The following is a 24,996-nucleotide window of genomic DNA, read 5'->3' on the forward strand; positions in this document are numbered from 1 at the left end:
GGAGATAGAGAACACAAAGTTTTTGTCCTCAAAGTCTTGTAATCTTTTCAATTGGAGAGTCACATTAAAATTAGAAAACAGTATGGCAGAGTATATAATTAAATGAGTAGGAAATAAACTGCAGGAAGAGGAATGTAAATCAGTCTTAATCACTACAATTGAAGAAGTCACAGAACATTTCACAAAGAAATAGAGTCTGAGATATGGACCTTTAGGATAAAGATTAGGAAAAGGTGAAGCACAGGAGGAACAGCATAAAAATCTCACAAAGTCAGAAAAAACAATCCAGATATAATTACAGGGCAAGTATTAGGAATCACTAAAAAATATTTTAGTTGGGTAAAATTCTGTAGGATCTTACTGTTAGCAGAAGTGCATAGAGTTAATTTAATGGAAAAAGGGAAACAATGCTAGTTTTTGAGTGGGAAGGTGACCTGGGGAAGGCAGAAGTTAAATTAAATGAACTCAGTTACAGTGAACAAAATATACCGGAGGAAAGGCAGACATCCTGACTTCATATAAAGAGCAGGAAAATTAGAATTGGGATATCCAGTTTATCCTGGTTTAACTTGGGAAGATATCAATGAGAGATATCTAGTGTGCCTCTGGGGCCCCATTTTTCAAATGAGATACCCAGTTATCTCATTTTACTAGCCGTAAACCCATTGATACTAACTCTCCGATCATAAGAGATTATCAGATAAAAGGCTCTTTCAGTTGTCCAGCTCTGAGGCAAAGCTAGAGCAATGGAGAAGATTAGAGGAATATGAAAAACTCCAAAAGAATAATCAAAAGGACTTAGTAGCTGAATGGATGTGAGAAATGAGAAACCTGGTGGAACCAAAGATTATTTTATGATGTCAAACTGGGAAGCTGAGATAAAATGGGATACCTCTGAGGAGAAGAGGTAAATTTGAAGGGATACCTCATTGTGCTACTCTACCCTCTTTGATGCAAGGAATGCGTAGCTTTCTCTCCCTGTTGCTCTATGTAACCTCAAGAGTTTAGGTAAGTCTCACAGATGTTGTGGTTACCAGCAAAGTATAGGGAAGGATCTTAATTTATGGTAATTTAGTTTGTAAATACAGCTGGCTGTTTACTATCAATGACTTTCTATTCATCATGTAGTGTCTGTACTGAGAACCTCTCAAAACCACTCTACCATATCTTGATGCATAGACAAGTGATCTCCAAATTCAACAAAACTCACTTTATGCTAGGGAGGAGGGTGGTAACTGGAGGAGGAGGAGAAAGCCGGGGAGGAACATCATATTCTTCACTTCCAAGGTGACCATTGGAAAAGACCTGAAAGTAAATCAAATTGTTAGTTTCCAAGAATTTAACTTCTGAAGGACCTTAAAGCCATAGCTGCTCTACCATTCTGAAGACAATATGTAAGTTCAGTATATTTAAATAAGTGAAATGTCATACAATTTATTCAGGAGTCAGTAGCACCACACTGATGATTCACCACTGCCCAAAGGGGTTCAAGCTTACACAAAAAATAAAAATGTTACACCATGATTCTTAAACACTGAGAGGGAATACTATAATTTATATACACCAGATACAGATATTAATGGCTAAATAGGTAGACAGTAAAATTCACCAACTATGATCAGTTTTTATTGAAAAGTTAGCATTCTCTATAAGGGGTAAAGAAAAAAGCAGCACTGATGTTATTCTTTTTTTAATTCCTTCCAAATTAAAGTGCTCTAAATTATATTTCTCCATGGTGAACGGAACATTCTTAAACTTTCTGATGAAACAGTACATTAATATAATCAGAAGTGCCTTTGTTCTTTCATGGTTGAAGCTTCTGTGCTAATGATAACTAGAGACCTGTTCTGGCTTTCCAAGTGCAGGCAAATTTAAACAAAATTTTCAGTTTGTGAACACACAAACCACAATTTCTAACTTGCTCATATGGGACCATCCAAAGCCAGTGTTCAATTACTCTGAATTAGGAGATTCTGATGTCTAGATTTCTGTTACACTACAGGAAATGTCTGAAAAACTGTTCGTTTCTCCTACAATTTGAAATTACAGCAACTTAAAGGGGGGCGGTTATGAGAGGATAATTTTGCAGAAACATATTCACAAGAAAAAATTGAACACATTTTAAGACCTATAAGCAATCATTAGATTTTTATCATGGAGTTATTTTGCAAACTCTTATTAATTCATATTTAATAGGTAGACTGATGGTGGGGCTAAATACATGTAAAGTAATTTGAGCAGTGCTAGATAATTCAGTCAAGGACTTACCAATTACTTTCCCCCATCATATTTCTAAAATGATGTGGAAGCTTTAGAATACAAAATTTAAAAGACCATACCCTTACCTATCAACTTAAAATAAGAAACAAGTTTAAAGAACATATTTGAAATGTATCAACGTTCGTATTTCAAAGCTACAAAATCAAATTTTATAGCTTTAAAGTTTCACTAGAGACTGGTCTTATGCTTTAGTACCAATTTCTCTTTTTTCATGTTTCCCTTCATTAGACTCAATATACTGTAGCCATACCATGACAAAATATTACCTTTAAATACAATGATTTTATCTGGGCTTTTGACTGTGGCCAAATAACAGAACAAGGCAAAGTGTTCTGAAGTGTGCCAGAAAGAAGAAATTTCCTAATAGATATTAATCATTTTGAAGTTTAATAAAATCCTTTAACATAAAAAAAGGCCTTTTAACAGACAAACACACATATCAAACCACAAACGCTCATTGTGATATTGAGCATTGGAAGTCATTCTTCATTGGAATTCTTTGCATGCTGCAGGAATAGACACAATGTAAGATATCTGCAATCAAATTTCCTTAATTCATATTACAAATACATATAAAACTCATTTGGGAAAATGTAATGTGGATTTTATATGCAATAGTTTGTTATTTTAGGACAAAGCATCCAACATAGATAGATGCTTAATAAAATTTCAGCAACAATAAAATAAAAGACAGATATGGGAATAATAGTTTCAGCTGTATTGGCTCTAATTTAACAATAAACCAACTATGATTTTATAATCAGAACATTATGAACGTATCTTTAAAAAATACCAATACACTCAAACATTTACTGGTATTGAAATTGCTTTCATCTTGCACATTAGGTAAATGAGAATAAAATACTAATAACAGAGTTTGCATATTTTTATGTACTACTATTAAATTTCATGAAGACAAGTCATACAGGCAATGATGTCTATCACTAGTAAAGCCACAAAGTACAATTAATGAGGTAACTTACTCTTGGAGGGCAATACCTAAGAAAATTAAGTGACTTATTCCTAATTTTTTGAAACAATCCATTAATCTGCTTTAAAATGCAAATGTCACTTTTTCTAACTGTTTCAGAAATACCATTTGTTACTGATGTATAGTAACTAAAGGATTTCTATGGCCACTGAAATGCTGTAGTGTCTTTTCTGAACCATTCATTTGATGTTTGGCATCTGATAATATTTTGCTCATGTTCTGTGTACTTACGTTTTGTCAAGGAGAATTTAGGCCACACTGGGCCTCTTTCAGGACAAAAATTCTATTACTCCTTTACCATTTTATAGCATATGCCTTACAGTGCTTTACACACAGTAAGGCTTAAATTAATATTGACTGCTGATTGGCTCAGATGCACTTATTAATGGAAGTATTAACTAGTGAAATCACTTTCCTTAGGTTTAGCTGAAAGAAATTCATTATTACTGAAATACTCTCAGCAAATATGTGTGAGTATATATATGTTATATATATACACATACATATATATACATACATACATATATACACATACACACACACACACATATATATAATTTGCTTAATGGCTGTTATTCCTATAAACTGTTCATAAATATGTACTGAGAGTTGACAATACGCCTAATACAAAACTTGGAATAGAACTGTATAGTTCTTTCCTAATTAGTAGATTGAGATAGCAAAGGACCTAAATGCGCAGGTACTTTATAAAATGATGATCATGTTTCCGTTCATCTAAAATGGCTGTTCATATTTATTGACGGTGGCTAGAGGACAAGATTTAACATTATGTCATTCTGAATTTCATGTTCTCACCTGCAACCATTTCTTTACACCCAAAAATCATTTTAGCTGCCACTACCTGAGTGAGTACAATAAATCACAACTTTGGGGGCTAAAAATAAATACTTTATATATTTTCCAGATATCTGAAAAACCTGTTTGCAAATGGTAAAAAAGAACTATAGTTCCTCAAATGCACAGACTGATAGTATCAACTGAAGCAGTTCACACTGAAACCTCACTGAATCCTCAACTAAGAAACATTTTTTTGTCCTCTGCATTCTTAGCTCACTGTCTGAAATCTATCACAATTGCATTGGAAATGCTACCAATTTAAATCTTCTAAATTCCCAATTCTGTTTCTAGCATTCCTCTGCCAGAAAAGAAAACTTTAAATATTCTTTCCTGCCTACCAAATTATGATTACTTAATGTAGAATTCAAGACACTTCATAATTGGTTTTAACTTTCCTTGCCATGGTCTTACCTCACCTGCCTACTCTTTTTATGCTATAGGCTATCCAAAACTGACTACATTATTACTATACATATTCTCCCACCTCCATGCTATTTCTTTCTGTCATACCTACAAAAACAACAGCTGCCAATCTTTTAATGTTTATAGCCAGTGACCCTCTTGCATGAAGCTTTCTTTATTCCTTTTTCAGTCCTGCATCTTGGAATTTTTTTTCTTCTTGGGGATCCCACACATTTTCTGGATGCTTCTCATATGCCTTACCTCTTAATCACATGCCTGTCTCATCCTGACTAGCTTTTCTGTGCTTTATTCCTCTTTGTATTCCCCAGAGTGTCTTGAACATCCTAGGTACTCATATAGCTGAATTAGGTAATGAGGTTGAAGAACTAAGAAAATAGTGGAAGTGTAGACTTGTGAAAGAAGTATAAACTGGCTTGTATAATTTATTAGAAATCTAGGTTATCTTAGAGTAATATTTCTCTAAATGCCTCAAGGTATCATCTAATCCTAAAGTGTAAAATGTTTTCTTGTGATTCAGATATTGTTTAAAAACTGAAGATTAAAACATATGGGACCCTTGAGATACAGAGAAAACAATTTTGTGAAAATCTTAGCACAATTAAGAAAAACATCTTTTAAAAATCTTACAAAACACAAGCCTTTACCTTATCCTACACATGTAAACCCCTACACATGCTACCTCAAAAGTATCCCTATAATTTGTCCTTCAACGTCAGACTGTACATGAAACCAGCACACACACAGGACTGATTTTCTGAAAGACAGCCCTTGAAATTTATAGATAACTTTAAGGTCATGAATGTAAACATGTGCCTCTCCACCAAAAGTACAACAAGCCACAACTGCAAAAAGGGAAATCATTTGATATATTTATCTTGCAGCATCTTCAAAAGATTATCATGCAAAGGTCATCTTTAGGACAATGTCACCGTAAGTTACATGACCAGTTAAAGATAGTTTTATCATATAAGAAACAGCAGTATTCTTACTGCCTCAAGAGAACAAATAATGACAGTTGGGTATAATGTTAATATCTAGAAATAAGTAGATACATTGCAAGTTTTTAGTCATATTTTAATATATTTTGGTGAATTATTTTGCTCAGATAATTAAAACAAACCACCAACAACAATAAATATCTAGCCAACAAGATGTTTATTAAGGAACAGCTTTATAAGGTGACTAAAATCTGAGACTTTCAGAGAATGGAAACAATGCTATAGGATAGAAATCTCTTACCATCAAAATCAGATAAATAAACAATAACTCTTAGCTTGTAGATCCACATTTAAAGTAAAGTATTACCTTGGCTAGCTTTTGATTATGCTAGGTAGGAGGGGAAGAGTAAAGGGAGTAAATGAATATCACAAAAACTTCTTAGACTTCACTTTAACTATGAGCTAGAATAATTTTTTCCTCAGAGCTCTCTACAATTACCAAATGGAGTAATTAGAGCTTAATTTATTTCCATTTCCCCTATCATTCATTGTTCTAGTGACAATGCAAACAGAAAAGGCAAATGGTTCTTCTGGATGATGGGAACTGACATAATGACAGGACGAGTAATGAAGGGAAGCGAGTCCTCGCCCATTGACAGGGTATTGACTTTTATAAATTCCCTTGTGTTCCACATGTATAATTAGTTTTCACTTAAATTTTTAGTACTTATCTACATTTTCTTATCTCTAAAATGGGAAGATGCTACTAGATTTGAAGCTTTGCCGCTTATGAAAACTACTAAACCTAAGCGGCAGTTTTTACCATTTGACCAAAAAAAAAAAAAAAAAAAAAGCGCATTTGCTTATATTAGGGGCCTGATAAATTATGTGAATAAAACAGCCTCCAAATACCTAAATCTCCCACTCTTTAATCCAATGATAAAGTAAGACAAAACAAAATGGCACTATTAGGTATGAAGGGTGAAAATACGTTAACATCTACTATTTTCATTAAAAATCTTAGTCTTTTTAAAAAATCAAAATATCTCCCCTTTCTCTTCACCCGCTCTCCTTTTCTTGTTGTATATGATCTACATGTTTAAAATGACTACTCTTCTGCAGAGGAACAAAAATCCTATTTTAAATAAGAAAACTATGCAAGATACATAAAAACCTGTCCCTTTGTAACTCCTTGCATATCACAGCCATCCTCTCCCTCCACCTTTTCTCTCCTGGCCTACACCTGCCCACACTCAAACCCAAGCACATATACTGTTTGTCTCCACCACTGGCTTTAGTGTTAGATTACTAGCACCAAGTAAGTATTATATTATAAGCACCGAGTTATTAACTTGGTTATTGAATGCTTAACCAAGTTATTAACTTGGTTATTGAGTGCTTACCAAGCATTCATTAGGAACTACGTTAAATAAAAGAAAAAAGGAGTGAAACAAAGAGAAGATGTTTCGGTTTAAAAAACAGACAACTATTTTGAATAAAAATGCCAAGTGTTACAACTTATTTTGACACTCTATGTACAGCTGTTATTTTTGGTTTTATTCCTGAACCAAGGGGTTTAGAAATTTAGATAGCTGGAAGCTAACTATTATCCTAGATACCAGGTATTATTATTATTCCATTTTATATAAAGGAATAAAATAAAGTTCCACTTTATTTATAAGGAAAATAAGTAAGGTTGGGGACAAAGCCAGTATATTCTAGAGCAAAAAGTGAAATCCAGGCCTGATTTTGGAGCCTGGTAACAAACTCCAACCCAGGATCACAGAAACTGAGAATTACAGGATCCTAAGTGATTATGTCAGTTGTTAGTTGAAGCCAACCTCTTAAGTCTCCCAACAATGAAATGAGAAGAGGAATTAGGCCTTTTCTAATTTATCTAAGTTCTGGTATGCCCTATGATCTAATGAAGTGAATCATTTTTCCTTTATAACAGTAATAAAAGAGGAGACATGGTCTGTTTTATAGTTTTGTGGCATTCAATGAATCAACTATATATAAATTCTTTTTTACAGCTCACTCCAGAAGTTAAACAATTAGGTTGAAATTAGAAATCTCAGAAGTCTAATTTTGGTTGAAACACCAAATCTAAGAGTAACATGAAATTAACTGGAGGATATTAGCATTGCAATATAAATACCCACAATATATGAGATTAGAACTTAGGAAATCTTAATGAGAATTATTTAGAGAGAACTAAGCAATATTAAAGTTCAGCTTTCAATAAGAGATAAAATTTTCACTCAGTGTTCTCTATTATACTAATCTGTTTCAATGATCACAACATGAAAGTTCACACAGAAATATTTAAAGGAATGTTTTTATAACTGAACTCACAATATTTCATACCTATAGTTAATAAAATAAAAACAGTATCTCATACCAATAACCTAAGAAATTGGGGTAACATCTCATAAAAAAATTAACAGCCAGTTTTCTAGAGCTTAGGAGGGCAAATTTATAATAGCATTAAAACTATAACATGTTATCTAAAAGAACCCCGAGACAAGATATCTTCAATGAAATGGCTATAACAACTATTATATTTCAAGTATTTTTGAAGTCCGTTTAGAAAATAAATTATAACATGCTGCTGAGATATAACTAGTTAATTACAGCTTCTTCTAACACTCTTCCCAAGACAAGTGTGATCACATATGAATAAAAAGTAAAGCTAAAGGGGGAAAAAAAAAAACCTGAAAATTTTTGAAAATGAATGGCAGGTCCTTCCAATCAGCATTCTAGGTTGTGGAAAAACTCTTTTGAGGAGGAGCTCCCCACTAACAGAGATTATTATAAAATTGGTTTTATTAGTATGTTCTCTTACATTTACATTATATTTAGGTGAACCTGAGGAAACCTTTAGAGATCCTCATATTTATAATAGATGAGACTGAAGGTACCAAGGTGAGTCACCAGCAAAGAGTCAAAGCAAACTGCCACCACTCCTTGCCTTTGGTTTTGAATGCTGTGCTACTGAGTTGTGACTCTTCCTTTCCTGGCTACCCCATATCACTGAGGTTAAATACTGTCATACAAAGTGTTCATTATCACTGTACCTCCACACACAGAGGAGCTGAGTGCAAGTCACGCTTCTTCCTTATATCCTGAATATAAGATGAACTCACCAACTTTAACCATTATATTGAAGGACTAGACTACTTCTGTAAAATATCAATTTAAGGTCTACAGAGATGAGATCACTTTAATATTATAGTCTTCAGAAGAGCCAAGGCCTCCATCAGCAGAGGGAAGATGGCAAGGATCTAATCTCAGAGTCAAAAGCACCCTGGAACCAAATACCAGAAATTATTACAGTATACCTCTGCCAAGGAACTACCAAGAATTCTAAAGTAAATGATTTCTGCTGCTGTCTCTTCAGTTTCCTGCACACATAAACTCCTTCCTGGACATATAAATGATAGTAGTAACATCCTTCAAGTGAGAAGTCAACAAGGGTGAGAATCTCTCAATTTTAGGGGAAAAGAACTTGGGAAAAGAACTTGATTTTTAAGAGTAAACTTGGTTTAGTGTTTTTAAGTATATAGGAGGTTCATTTTACCTGGCTGCCTAATGTGCACTGTCCCAGGCAACAATAACTAACTCCAACAACTGATTTATGACATGTATAGTAACACAACTTGTAAAAATTGGATGGAACTAAAGGAGTTTGTTAAAAATACCGTGCTGGCTGGGCACAGTGGCTCATGCCTGTAATCCCAGCACTTTGGGAGGCTGAGGCGGGTGGATCCCCTGAGCTCAAGAGTTCAAGACCAGCCTGGCCAACATGGTGAAACCCCATCTCTACTAAAAATACAAAAATTAGCTAGGCGTGGTGGCAGGTGCCTGCAATCCCAGCTACTCAGGAGGCTGAGGCAGGAGAATCGCTTGAACCTGGGAGGCAGAGGTTGCAGTGAGCCGAGATCACGCCACTGCACTCCAGCCTGGGGGGCAAGAGCGAGGCTTCGTCTCAAAAAAAAAAAAAAATGCAGGCTGATTATACCACCACTAAGTTGTTAATAGAAGAAATTTTTGGCAAATGAAATACGGGAAGGTGAAATAAATCTCTGGCAAATTGTCTAGTGTCTTCACATTAAAATTAAATCATTACTTAGAACCTCCTGACTTCTCTTAAGTTCAAGTTTTAATGAGCTTCTGATTATTTATAACTTGGGGATAATTAAAGACTTACAGGGAAGTGCCATGCTAGGCAAAAAAAAACACTTCCCAACCTTTTATGCTACTGACCATCAGAAGCATTTATAAGCAGATTCTCTAGCTTCTGCTTTGCGTATTTCTTACCTTAGCTCCTTCTAAAGGCAAATCATGGCGTCTGTGTTTCCGCATAAGCACTGGGTCAGAGCCCACTCTACTGTGCCTTCCATTGACATTTGAACTCGCTGTGATTCCAGGTTTTGGAGAGCCCTCCCCTAGGAGTCGACATCCCACAAGCTGATTAGTCCCAAACACATCCCGAGGGCACCATGCTTCAAGAGGCATTGGCGGGTCTCTGGAAGGCACGCTTTCCACATGATGGATGTGTCTACTCAGTCTATTGTCTGGTGGGATTGGTGGAGGTCTTTCAGGTGGCGGTGGAGGAGGATCTCTTAAGGGAGGAGGTGGTGCTGGGAGTGGTTTATCTTGTTTTCTCACCATGCAAGGAGAAGACTAAAGAAACAGAAGAGAAAAAAAAAAAAAAAAAAAAAAACTAAAGGTTGTACCATGCACTGACAGAACTTCCAAACTAGTGTATTATTGCTTTAATTTTCTAAGCCAAACAAGGAGTTTTACTAGATTCCTGTGCCATCTTTTAATAAGTTGCTTTTATTACTAGTTAATGAAATTTAAATGAGAATAAAAAACTCATAAATACATTTCATTAGGAAAAAGTAGAAATGAGTACATAAATCCAAATGTTAAGTTATAGAAATGATACAGAAACAAGTAGAAGATCAAAATCATACAATGACTTTGACATTAAAAGAATATGTCAATAATTTATTTGCACATCTCTATGATTTAGGAGAGAGGAGAAAAGTTGTCATGGTTTCAGTTTTTTTAAAGAGTAACTTGATTTGTAATATTTGTAATATTTTTAGAAGATTAAAAGCTTTTTCTTTATTTTTGTTTTCATCACTGTGATACAGCAAAACTGATATGGGGGCAAATGTGCTCTGCTTCTTTATCGGTTATTACCAGAATAGTAAAAGATCACAAGTAACAGAGCAGCACTACATATGGAATTACTTCAATTTTATGAATTCTTACAGTATTTTAAAAGATCAGGCTGATTCTTACATAGAAATATAAAGGTATAGATCAATGAATTGAATGAGTATGCTTTTCGTAGCTTTTGACTTTTATTTACATGGTTAATCTGATGATTGATTTGTAATTTTAATGTTAGAAAATAGCAGAGAAAAAAGGAATCTGTTGTGTTTACATAATTCTAAATGATATTCTAATAATGTGTGATCTTAAAACCAGGTTAACTGGTAATACAGGAAAATCAAACACTACTAAATATATTGTGCTTCCAACAAATTTTAGACAACAGAGCATGTTACCAAATAAAATTAATTTTTAAAATCTTATACTTATCAAATTCGAGGAAAAAATCCACACAGTAAAATAAACTGTAGGTTTAACTGTAGAGTAAAAATTATGTCTTTAATATTAAACAGTAATATAATTACTCTGCAAATATTGCAATTCATTGTAATTAATTTCTCCAGGTTTAAAAACTACATATAATTCCCTCTTCTGAGTCGCCTTGAAACAAGGGTGATAATTTGTCATACCTTAAGCCCTTTGCAAATATACTCCCATCACATTTTTCTTGTCATGGCACTATAAAAATGAGCGTAAAATATCATTTGATAACAGCATGCAAATTATTTTAATGCATATAATGACCTTTTAAATCTATTTTACAAAATAACTATACTTACTCTGCTTCTTATTCTGGCAAATCATGGGGCTACAGACATATGCTCTCTGCAAAAATTATGTGTAACTCTCATAGTAATAAAACAAGAAATATGAATGTGGGCTCACCATAAACTAAACGAGAAACTCATCAAACTTATTCACAATTAAAAGCAAAAAAATATGAGTAATGGAATTTAAAAGAATCTGAGCAATCAATAATTGTCTTACAAAATTTTCATCTGTGTTTCTAATAAAATTGATCTACCTTTGGTGAACCCGTTGGGCTGCCACAGGGAGATCTAACTATGCCTTTCTGAATTAGATCCAGGCGAGGAGGCACGGGTGGCAGGCTTAGATGTGGGATCTGGAGTGGGTCAGGCTGTGGCTTTCTTCTCTGGGCAAGGGGAGAGGATCCTGGTGATGTGACTGGTGAGTTCTGCCTGTCAGTGCACTAGAACAGAAAAAGAGAAAGATGCCGCTGTTTATTAGCTGTGCAGAGTGTTCTCTGTTCTTAAAGAATATATTTGGTTGGAAGAAGGTTTCTGGCACCATACATTTGTTAAAATGAATTCCCTTAGTTTACCCTGATTAATAGAAGCAAATAGTTCATACTGTCCCTCAAGGGTAGTATTACGAAAAGAAAAGACTGATAAGTTTTTCCTACATATTGCAGAAAGGGGCTAAGAAAAAAGAACAGCAAAAGTATAGTATAAAGACAATCAAATGCAGATATTCTTCAAGAAAACCATCTATATTTTATGAGGAATCCAGAAACACATAATGCAATAATGCACATTGCTCTTGGATCTCTATATTATAAATTTTTTTGCTCGAGCTTTGTACATTCTAATACTTAGCTATTGCTTTGTTCCAAACATGTATCTTGTATGTAGTCTATTTTCCTGCAAACCAATTAAATCAGGTGGGGTTTTAAAAAAATAATTGTGTGTTTAAAACAAACTGATTTAAGCCTATTTTTTTTTCCTTAATACTACACATGGAAAAGATTCTCAAGTTAAACATTTTTCTTGAAACACAATGAACTATATCTAGGAAAGTCTGTCTGTACTTCTGGCAAAAACTAAGTTTCTGTTACTACAAGTTTTCCATATTGTCTGGTAGATAAAGTAGCATCGAAAAGCCAGTAAGTATTTCAATTTGTACGTAACACTTCCTATTGCATAATGTTGTGTGTTTGTGTGTGTGTGTCTATGTGTTTTAATGCAGCATAACCTAATTTCTATTTGTTATAAAAGCCATACAGTTAATCAAGTAGCCTTAACAGGATAAACAATATTCTGTTCTAAAATACTGGGCAGTTTCCAAGTCTAAGTTACTAGCTCTTTGAAGATTTAGACTTAATGTTTACAACACTATCTATCATGCTTTGATATTGTTCTGTTTCTGAATGCTAGTATTTATAGTTTTAAACTTATTTGTAAGCCATTTTCCTCCTAACATTACTTACCTTTGTACGAATTGCTGATGTCATCATTTGACAATTTAATATGAACTCAGCAGCTTTATCATTTAGTCTGTCTTTAACTGAGATAATGGATTTGCGTTCACATTCACACTTAGTTACATTGTATAAGGCTTTTGTTAATTAACTAAAATCCATAGTTTATTCAGATTTCCTTAGTTTATACCCAATGTCCTTTTTCTTCTCCAGGATTTCATGCAGGATACTGTATTAGTTTTTATTATTACGTCTCCCTACTCTCCTTTTGGCTCTGACAGTTTCTCAGACATCCATTGTGTCTGATGACTTTGACAGTTTTGTAAAGTACTGGTTAGAGATTATACAGAATGTTTCTTTATTGGGATTTGTCTAATTTTTAAAAATAATTAGCCTGGGGTTAAAAGTTTTGAGGAGTAGGACCACGGAAGTAAAGTGTCATTTTGACCACATCATATCAAGGATCCATGCTATCAACATGATTCATCACTGCTGTTGCTGACCTTAATTACCTGACCGTGGTATTGTTTATCAGACTTCTTCACTGTTAAGTTTCTTTTTTTCTCCTCCTTCCCATAGTATACTCTTTGCAAGGAAGTCACTGCACAGCCCACATTTATATAGTTGGAAATTTATGCGTCCTTTGTAAAGACTTTTTAAAAATAAATCTGAGGCCAGCCCTGGTGGCTGATGCCTGTAATGCCAGCACTTTGGGAGGCCAAGGCAGGAGGACTGCTTGAAGCCAGGAGTTTGAGACTAGCCTGGGCAACATGGCAAGACCTCCTCTTTACTAATTTTTTATTTTTTTTAAATTAGAATGGTGTGGTGATACACGCCTCCAGTCCCACGACTCAAGAGGCTAAGGTAGGAGGATTCCTTGAGCCCAGGAGTTTGACTCTACAGTAAGCTATAATCGTACCACTGCACTCCAGCCTGGGCAACAGAGCAAGACCCTGTCTCTAAAAAAATAATAAAATAAATAAATCTGAGTAGCTAAACAGAAGACTATACCTCCGATATGCCTGAATATTGTCATGACATTACTAAACTGCAAAGTCTTTGTCTCTGTTGGTGCCGAATAACAAAATCATTCAACAAAATTCAACATAATTTTACATTACAATTTTTAGAAACATTTCTTTTTTAAAAATTAATGATTCTTTTTCATTTCTTTTAGCTCGGTTATGGTAAGTCAAAAAAATTCAATTGTCACTGAAGGAGAAAATAAAGAATCTCTATAGTCACAAACTGACTTGAGTACAGCCAGTGATTCTTAACAAAAGAATAGTTCTACCCAGAAAGTCACAGGGCCTCACATGTTCCATAAATTTGAACCTTCTGGAGCAAAACTAATCCCAAAATCATCATAGATCAGAAAAAATTCCTCATGTAAAGCTATTTGCATCACAGCATCTTGACACTGTAGATCAGCAATTGTCACAGGACATCTAATTCTCCACCATTCCTATTAGGATAAATTATATTCTCTGAGAACTAGAAAAGCTATTACCTGAAAAAAATGCTTTGTTGATATGGCTACTCTCCTTTACAAAGAAGAATCAAGAAGCAAAGCTATCAATACTGTTTCTAGCCCAAACAATATATTTTTTTATATATAGAAAGAATGCACAGTTCTTTAGTTACTTGCAAAAACACTTTTCAGGGCTAGATGTACACACTGCAAAGACTGCTGAATGAGACCTGTGCTCCTCCAAGCACTTTTTTTCTGCAAATATTTTCCTACTTCTCTCATTAACTGAAACAAGACACAGAATTGTGATAGAGCTAACAGCCCATTATCAGTATTAGGACTTGACTTTCACCCTAGATTGGATTAATTACTAATATTTAAGCAGTTAGTAAATTTCTAGCATGTTTAAATGGGGTAAATTTGATTTCAGATGTGTTGAAGAGCCTGTTGGATACTGAAAGAGTATAATGAAAATCCTCAGAACAGACATCCAAACCAATGTGTGTGGCAAAGTAATAACCTTGAACTTTTAGATACTTCCAGACGAGCAGGCTCTCTGAAGCTTTGTGAATGTAATTGGAAGCATATCTTGCTTAGCGCAATTCATACTGTGTTCTGAAGGTGATTATGTACTGTCCTTTTGAAGAATTAATTCATTTAGAAGCTACACAGTATCTGTAAGTTGGCTTAGTTAGAAGGATTTTATGGAGAGTATGTGAAGAAAAAAAATATCTTTCATCTTTATTGATTATATGTACTAAACTCACCAAACCTCATTTTCCTGAGTTCTCCTAAATTAGAGTAAAATTCCTACCTAAGAGTAGATAATTTAACAATGCTCTTTTGATAGTAATGCATTATTCTTTGCTGAACCTTTTACTATTTTTAAAAACAATTATGCAGTTAGTGTACTGAAGCTTTGCCTTAACTTTCATTGCTGGTAAAATTCAAACACTATGAAGATTTGTAAACATTTTTAGTAGGTAATGTTCATATAGAAGGTCACTTTTAATTTATTTGAGTCATCACAAATTGTGTTTTTTCCTTCCTATTTGAAAGTCTACGGAAAAAAAGGAAATCTAGCACAATGTTGCACAATCCAGTCCATAATTAATTTATTGGATGAGATATTAAAAATTCAGGACATCAAAATTTATCAGCTCACTTTAAAGAATAAAAAGTCTGCTCTTTTTTATCCTTCTGAAAATAAAAAAAAACAAAGTACATCAATTCAATGTAGACCAAAATTATTTCTCCTTTAAAAGACAATGCTGTCTTTTTGTAATAGCTGCATTTTTTATTTTTATTTTTGCATTTTAAAAGACTAAATTCTAGAGTAACAGACTTTTCCCCTGTACAGGTAATCACCAGGTAATTCAAATGCCTCTATAGCTGGGACCTGAATGTGGGAATTCATCTTTAGCCCACCAGTTCATATTATCCCCTAAATTGACTCCTTATCAGCCATTTCCTCCACCCTTTTCTGGGCTTTCTTCCACAGTTCTAATCCCCAGCTCAAATCACCCAGGCCATTTATCTTTTTCTACATGTGATAGGTGATAAAGGGAGCTGTTGGGGTAAAACAATAATAACAAACAAACATAGAGCCAATCCCCTGGCTCAGGTTTAAATTCTAAGACTGTGAACTGTGCTAATTATCACTTACTGATTTGTCCACTGTTCCTCTTAATCACTACTACTTCCATTGTGTATAAAAATGCAGACCAAATACATAAGTATAAAACATCTTGGGTAGAAAAGTAGCAAAGGATTCATTTAAATTCTGAATAACAACAGTTAGTATTTTGTTCATACGGATACTCTTGATTAGAAAATGTAAATTTCAAGTATGACTATCTAAGCTCTAATGCCAACTGGTTATAAAGAACAATTTTTTTTTGCATTTGAGTAATCATATAAATAAATGTATAACCTGATTTCAAACCACAGATCTCCTATATTTAAATTTCCTATATTCAAATTGCTTATATTTAAATTTCAGTTATAATATAAAGAGGCCATGCAGTCTTGAAAATGTCACCACCTATTGGTGGTGTTATCTGTAGATTAAAGAATAAAATTAATGCATTTGACAGAACATTATGGGTTAATAAAATTAAATAATGCATTATAAAATAAATGCTGATGTAAAACATTTATAAACATTATGTAAAATAAATGCTGATGTAAAATATTTAATTTTTATTTAGATGAAATTGTTAGGAAAATGGATTATTTTGATGTAAAAGGGACAGAATGTAATCTATTATATTATCTCCAAATTTCTAGTCAAAGCTTGCCCATCTACACTGCCAAAAGGTAATCCCATTAAAGTTACTGTTAAACAAAATGCCCACCCTTGTTATTTCTTATTTTGTCCCAGACAATTCCTCCCACTATCAGCTCTTAATGCAATAGTAACAAAATCAAATATCTAACCAAATAATTAAATTAAGTAAAAATGCATTCAAAAGTCAAATAGAAATGCCTCTTGGATTATTTGCTATTATTAGCACTGACCTTTAAAAAAGCAAACTTAAAATTTAATTTAACATGATTAGGCTTTCTTTTTAACCTAGAAAGGGTCTTAAACACAAAAACAACAAATGATAACAAGAAAAGTAGTTTAAGAATTGGATTAGGCTTATAAATTTAGGGGTATGCATGTTGTCAAACTGTTTCCCATAAAAAATACGTTTTACTGGTTTTGGCAGTTCTGTCCTTGTATCTTTTCAATTTTCTGTTTATTTCACTTTTTCTCTCTTCATTATAAAGAACATAATTTCACTCTAGGAAATTTTGGAATTATAGGGAAATATAAAGATATTTTAAAGAACACCTACATATAGCCATTGGTGATGGTTCCTAATCACATACACAATGTTAAGTCTACTCAATGTTTATTAGCATTATACAAAAAAAAATTAGCGGTAAACATTCTTCATGAATATAATTTTAAAGTATGCATATATGGATTTACAAAACCATTCCTGTGCAATGAACACTTATGCTGTTTTCAAGTTTTCTTTATTATAAAGTAGTATCATAAAGAAATCTTTAACCATATATGTGCTAGTTTTTAAGGAAAGAATCATACAATTTTTTTGAGCACAAGATACTAGACATGTAACCGTGTCGAATTTATGAATATTTTTAAGGCTCTTTTGCTGTCCAGATGGTAAAACCAATTTATTCTCTCACCAGCCATGTGTGATAATTACCATTACACAAAACTCAAATGCAAAGAATATTTTGTTTGCTTTGATGCTTGATTGTCATTTTAATGGGCCATACCAATGTTTAAATTTGCCCTTCCTTCCTTGACAAATAATTTGAAAGAAATGCAATCTTTGTTGGACATGTGTACTTCTTCTTTGGGTCACTAGCTTTTTACATTTTTTTGGTCCCCATATCCACTAATTTCCTCTTTGTTGATTTGAAAGTGCTCTTTATATATTAGGATAGTCAACCTCTTTCTATCTGTTATAATTGCTGTCACTATTTTTTCTGCAGTTAAATTTTTCTGACTTTTTCATGGTAGAGATTTCGCCTGTGCTCTTCTGGTTTTCATGTGTTAATGAATGACTAAAGTATCATGTCCTTTTGAGCACTGCTTAAATGAGTTCCTTTCTTTGTCACTCCTTCATGTTCATCTCTCTAATCTTAAGACAAACAAATATAAGTATGGAAAAATTAAGTCATAAAGCATAGAAAGTAGAATGTGAACACAGAATTAACTGTATAGAACTTATTCACAATATCCAAAATCCTTATGTAGAGGTAACTGCAAAAGTTGGGAAAGACACAAACATCCTTTCAAGTTAAAAGATACTGATCAGTATCACTTCATTCCTTTATCTTGATTTTAGGTGATTCTCACATTTTTCTAGTATTACACTTGTTTCTAAAACTTTATGATAAATTATCTGTTTCAGCTTCTTTCCAAATCCAAAGGCTGAGCCAGCCTTGATTCCTTCCTGTATTATCATCACACCAGTATATTTGTCTAACTAACAATTTCTCTTAAGTTCTTCAATCCTAGTAACAGATGAGAACATCTTTTACAAACTAGAATCCTGGTGTTCTAGAAATTTAAAGACCACATTGGATTCTTTTACGTCTACATACTCATCCTTTTGCTTTGGAAATTAATAAATACTATTATTTATTTTTCTGACAAAATGCACAGAATCCTTTATAACTACCACGAGGAACAGAGAAATCCACATGTTCAATCTTAACAGAAAATCCTGACAGAAAAACCCTAAGAAGTAAAGTAGTCAAAAGCCCATCTCACTATGTTCAGCAATTACCAATAATAATTGGGAACTCATTCTATTTTAGTCACTCTTCATTTTATCCACACCTTTAAAGAGCCATTTTATAAAAACGTTAATAAGATCCATTATTATGGAAATGGCAAAACATTTGGTAAGAAACTTCAAGCACAGTCAGGCTTATTATAAAAACAGGACAAGAGAAAACCTCTCCAATTACTAATAAGATGAGAGTTCTGACAGTCCCAGAGATAATCAAAGTCAATTTTATAATACTTTTAACAAGATTTTTACTTAATGAATTTCCATATCTGAAAAAGGTATATACAGTTACTATAATAAGGATGATGAGAAGGACTCAGAGAGTCAATGTTTTTCTATAAATGCGTGAAAATTAATGAAGACATTGATAAAACTTTTATCACATGATAAAATAGTCTAAGCATATTTTACTTGCTACTATTCTCAGTTTTTTCACTTTATTTTGTGAACAAAACAAAAATCAAGAGTATTTAAAATAGTAGCCTATACAGAATATTATTCAGAGAGGGTATATGCTACAAAAATGCTTACACACATACTCACATATTCATATGGCATTATAGCTTAAGTAAATGACTTGTGTTATCTATTTTAGAGTACCTCCACAGATAATAAACAAAAGCTTATATGAAGAATATTGTGTTAGAGCAATACAATCATTTCCTGGTTACCCATGGTCATACTTCCAGAAGTCTCAACCTACAATAATTTGGGGAGAAACCCAGAATGAAACAGGAAAGTCCTCTGAAGTAGGAGGAACATTTTTTTTTCTACTTCTTAATACAGAAACAGAATGTAGGCACCCTGCTACCTTCCTAAGAATATGGACATTTGATTTCTGTGTAAAATGAAGTTCACTAATTCAAAGGCTGAATTACTGTCTATGTTCCACTAGTAACTTCTGGAAATTTTCAAATTAGAAGCAATAAAGAAGCGGAGGAAAACAGAAACCTATATATTAAGAAACACCAAATGGAATAAGAGCTGATTTCTCTTTGAGGTCTGGCAGAGAAGTGGTCAATAAAGTTGCCGACAGGTCTCCTTTAAAGTAGTGCAGTCTCACACTTGGGGATAACCTTAAGGGCACTGCTCTACTGAAATATTAAACACTGTTAACACAAGTGATGATACTGCTTCTCCTTGAAGTACCTTCTTATGAGAGGGACTTGATCTCCTGGCCTATGATCAGCCTCCATAACCTTGAAATTTCTTTAAAGTTTTGTATTTTACTTTAAACATTTACACAAATTTTATATCCTGATCCAAATATATGTGTGATTTTAATTTAAATTTATGGTTCTCTTCTCTTTATGCAAGCTACCCTCAAATCTTGTAGCAAAATGTAAGCTTTTAGAAATGTGTCATGTTGACTACAGTGGCTTCTTATGCCCTTTGGTTCGCTCAGCTGCATAACCAATTTTGAGAAGGCAGGGAAGGGTGACATATAATTCAGAAATATTTCCATAAAAATGGCCAAGAAACAAGAACATTCTGAGAATTAAAGGAATAAATTTTGGTCACTGAAAAAATGCTTTCATGTGAAAACCCTTATTGCTCTCCAAATGCCAGCTAAAGCTGGTTGGAACAAGCAATTGCTATTTGGTTACTGTAGTTCTTCACCCTACTTTAGATAATACTTAATCATTTCAACTTAGTTATACAGAAAATAAGAACATTGTAACCTTATCTAAATTATTTAATCCTCAAAATAGTGTTTCAGCTGACATGTTGACAAGTTTGCATTTTCTGAGTTTCAAACTTGAAGCATGGTTTAACAGTAAATTATTTTAATGTGGTCATGCAATGAAATTATAACTATATAGATGTTAATATGTTAAAGAAATACAACCAATTGCTTGGTAACCAATAAAATTTTGGCATCTAATTCTTCCTAATGGAATGCTATCAACATCTAAAAGAAAACCTTCCATAGACAACTCAAAAATACTAATAACTTAATTCTTAGAAGTACAGCAATATTTCAGGAGTCTTAAATAACACTAGTATAAAAAATGTGGCCAGGTGTGATGGCTCACACCTGTAATCCTGGCACTTTGGGAGGCCGAAGTGGAAGGATAACTTGAGGCCAGGATTTCAAGACTATGCTGGGCATTAGAGTGAGACCCCATCTTTGTTAATTTACTTTAAAAATAATATTAATAACAACCAATACTTAGCATTTTCCATGTGCCAGCACTGTTCTAATGGCTTTTTATATATATGAACTCATTTAATCTTAAAGAGGCAGAGTTTTATGGACCAAGTACTTGGGGGAAGGGGAGTGGGAGGGGGTGTTAAATAAAACAAGGCACATAGATACTAAGTAGGAAAACTAGAAGATGAGCCCAGGCAGTTTCACTCCAAGAGGGCAGCTCTACTTAAGAATATAACAATTAAGAACAGTGTCACCACTGATCATTAAAAAAAAAAAAATCCTTCTCAAGGGCCTACTGTGTATCAAGCACCATGCAAACCTCTAAGAATGGAAAGAAGAATAAAGCATAGCCTGTGTCCTCAAGGAGCTGACAATCTACCTGAGGCAGTGGACTCAAAACTTTTAGAGTTCAAGTGTTGCTTCTTCTAATATACTATGTATTCAAGTTATTTTTGAGAAATAAGTAACAATGTCTTCAAGGTATCCTACGACATCACACAGCACTTGGATGATGCAGTTGTTTCTTTTGCTAATCACATGCTAATAAAGAAAATACCACTATTTTGCACGAAGAGCTTTTAGAAGATCAGTAAACAGAGTGCAAGTAAACGATGAACAACAAACCTGTGCCTTCGGATTGCTTACTGTCACTCACGGCTCTACCTAAATGTTGTGGGAAGGCAGTGGTGAGGACTAGACTATTAGTACTATGGTCAGAATAATTCTTTTGGGTAGGACCACCCATGGGCTTGCAGGATATTTAGTATCTCTGGCCCTTCCCACTCAATGCCAGCAGTATTTGCCATCCTTTAGTCATTGCAAAAAACAAAAGTGTCCCCATATATTACTGAATACCCTCAAGAGGTAAAATTGCCTATAGTTGAGAACCATGTTCTGCATTTCGAATGTCTATTTTTATTTTTGTATTTCACTTCTGTTGTAATTTTTGATCTTACGGCTCCAACACGGACTCTAATCCTGTGATTCAGATTTAAATAGACAACGTAAAAAGGCAACATCCTCCTAAAAATAGCTGCAAAACACTGTGATATGCACACACACCCCTTTCCTTAGGATCAGGAATACTATGCAGCAGCAGTCCCCAACCTTTTTGGCACCAGGGACTGGTTTCGTAGAAGACATTTTTTCCACGAACGGTGGCAGGGAGGGGAAGGGGATGGTTTTGGGATGATTCAAATGTGTTACATTTATTATGCACATTATTTCTATTATTATTACACTATAATATATAATGAAATAATTATAAACCTCACCATAATTTAGAATCAGTGGGAGCCCTGAGCTTATTTTCCTTCAACTAGACAGTCCCATCTAGGGGTGATGGGAGACAGTGACAGATCATCAGGCATTAGATTCTCCTAATAAGCGCACAACCTAGAACCCTCCCATGTGCAGTTCAAAATAGAGTTCATACTCCTTTGAGAATCTGATGCCACTGCTGATGTGAGAGGAGGCAGAGCTCAGGCGGTAATGCGAGCTGTGGGGAGTGGCTGTAAATACAGATGAAGCTTCGCTCACTAGCCTGTTGCTCACCTCCTGCTGCACAGCCGATTCCTAACAGATCACAGACTGGTACTGGTCCATGGCCTGGGGTTTGGGGACCCCTGCTATAGAGACGTTCTTCACACTTATTAGGAAATGCAATACTTAGATGACATGTTACATTTCTAATTAGCAAGATGTATTTTAATTGAAGAAGGCAACAAAGGAGAATGCATAAAAAAGAATAACTTCCTTGACTTTTGTTCATACCCATTTTTGTTCTAATGTGGCCATTAAGATTTTAAATATTATTTTAAGAAAATACAATGTTTAAGACAATAAGAACTAATCTGGGCTCATTCACTAGTTCAGTCTGTCAACATTTTATTTTTATATGCAAATTTTTATTTATTTCAAATGTAAATGTTATGTATTTGGTGACTAATACTGTGAAAAACTGTTAAGATTCCTCTTAATCCTCTGGCAAAATGAAGCAAATCACTGGGTAGCAACAGATACTGTTTTTTAGCTCTGATCTGAATGAAGTCAGAGAGAAGGCTGTGATCTTACCAGTCACATCCTGGACTTTGTCTGAGGGCTCACATCAGATCTAATTATCCCAGGATTCTGACAGCTTGAAAACTCAGGCAACGATACAGACTTGGGCAAAATCTAAAACATATTCTAGTTAGTATCACAAAATACTTTCTATCAGAGAGGGAATCAAAAAGTATGTATTATAGACTTTTAGGTTCTATTGCTTCTGTAAGGATTAGCATTATTAAACACATTTAACTATAAAAGAAATAATAGAAATACACTATATGTTTAGTATGCTACTATTTATGAACTCCAGCTGTGGGATATCACCATGGTAACAGGAATATACAATCAAAGCAGGTTTCCATGCTACGATGGCAGCATTACTCATTTAAAGAATGTAATATGCTGAAGACAGGAAGAAACAATTTCACAATATTATCATTGGCCCGCTCATAAAAGAAGAAAAAGATGAGTATTCAAAATGGCAGATAGAAACAATGGAACCATTCTGTTGGACAATCACTGGCAGTCACTCTTTTAACTGAGAGAATAAAATGTTTTAAAAATAAATGAGTAAGTCCAGGCACCAGGCACGGTGGCTCATGCCTGTAATCCCAGCACTTTGGGAGGCTGAGGCGGCTGGATCACTTGAGGTCAGGAGTTCGAGACTAGGCTGACCAATGTGGTAAAACCCTGTCTCTACTAAAAATACAAAAATTAGCCAGGCGTGGTGGCAGGCGTCTGCAATCCCAGCTACTCGGGAGGCTGAGACAGAAAAATCACTTGAACCAGGGAGGCAGAGGTTGCAGTGAACCAAGATAGTGCCACTGCAGTCCAGCCTGGGCAACAAAGCGAGACTCCAGCTCTAAATTAATTCATCAGTTAATTAAAAAATAAATGAATAAATGAATGAGTGAATGAATGAAAATGCATGAATGAATGACAAAAGAATGATTTAAAAAACAGAGGAAGAACATTCAGGTAGAAGAACTACTGTGTCAAAATGACCATGTGACATTTGTTTATAACCACTCCTATAAGAAAAAACTGGATAAAATCTATCAGTTTGATGCTCTGTGTATATATATATTTAGTATTCAGGTTGGAACAAAGTTTAAAATATGCATAAGATTAGGTCATTGCCCTAAAGGAACATGTGTGCAGGAGTGTGCATTTATTAGTTCACTTAGTAAATATTTATTGAGTGCATTTAGGTGCCTGGGAACACAAATACAAGGCATTGTCCCTGGCCTTAAAGACAGTCCTTTAAATAACAATTTAGTGTAACTCCTGATATAGAAGTACATATAAAATACTATAAGAACATAACATCATAGCAATATTCTTCCAAATTATTCAGAAAGAATTATGCTTGTATCTATATAAAAATTTAGGTTTTATTGAAAATTAAGTGGTACACATTTATGAAATGCTATAAAAGTCACAATCAGTTTAATTGACTAGAGGCAGATTAGTAGACATAAAGACATTTAACTGAAATATACCTCTTCAACTTAAAAACAAATAATTACAAGTGATATAAATTTCTAAACTATCTAACTCCCATAAGAAAGTATAACAAGATTGTAGTGAAGTAAAGCTTTATTAAATGACACTGCTGACTGCCAAATAAGCTACTGAAGTGTGACTTCTAGGACAATAATGCTTGAGATCATCATTCTACTCTTTGTGGGGTAAAAAACAGAAAGGATCAATTTGAAAATGTCTCAGCTCCCTTGACAGAAAGCTCACCAGTGTGCCAGAGAGAATGAAATATGAATGGTCTTGGGAGCGGGTGATAAGATCAAGGAGAAACACTAGAGTCACCTTGGAACATTCTGCTTCTCATGTTATGTTCCCAGCATTTCCTTTCGATTGTTAGTGCCACTACTGAAAAGAGGCTCAAGCTTCAACTTAATTCAATGGAAAGCAGGTTGAGACTGCAACTTTTCCCAAATTCACATAGGGCAGATACTGTTTTCTCCCAAGCAGTAAGGTATACAAAAATTCTTTTTAAAATTTCTCTTAAAGCCTAGACCTACCCTCTCACATGGATCACTGAAGATGAAAACCCATTTAGTAAAGAAAATTGAAATGTCTTCACAGC

At 34.1% G+C, this 24,996-nt stretch overlaps 1 protein-coding gene across 44 annotated transcripts in view; it reads right to left on the reverse strand.

The window, feature by feature from the left end:
• CBLB (Cbl proto-oncogene B) overlaps positions 1 to 24,996 on the reverse strand; it is a 213,989-nt gene that overhangs the window by 36,823 nt on the left and 152,170 nt on the right. For 43 of the 44 annotated variants that reach the window (NR_135810.2, NR_135811.2, NR_135808.2 and 40 more), the window contains 3 exons: positions 11,705 to 11,890; positions 9,811 to 10,176; positions 1,211 to 1,305 (listed from right to left, as the gene is read on the reverse strand). Coding sequence is in view for 35 of the 44 variants with exons in the window: in XM_011513257.2 (XP_011511559.1) it covers positions 1,211 to 1,305; positions 9,811 to 10,176; positions 11,705 to 11,890 (647 nt within the window). In the remaining 9 variants the exon portion in view is untranslated. Of the gene's footprint in view, positions 1 to 1,210; positions 1,306 to 9,810; positions 10,177 to 11,704; positions 11,891 to 22,916; positions 23,031 to 24,996 lie in introns of all 44 variants that reach the window. The other variant, NR_135809.2, reaches the window with a different exon arrangement.

The sequence above is a fragment of the Homo sapiens genome, chromosome 3 (genome assembly GCF_000001405.40).
Source record: "Homo sapiens chromosome 3, GRCh38.p14 Primary Assembly".
Taxonomy (NCBI): domain Eukaryota; kingdom Metazoa; phylum Chordata; class Mammalia; order Primates; family Hominidae; genus Homo; species Homo sapiens.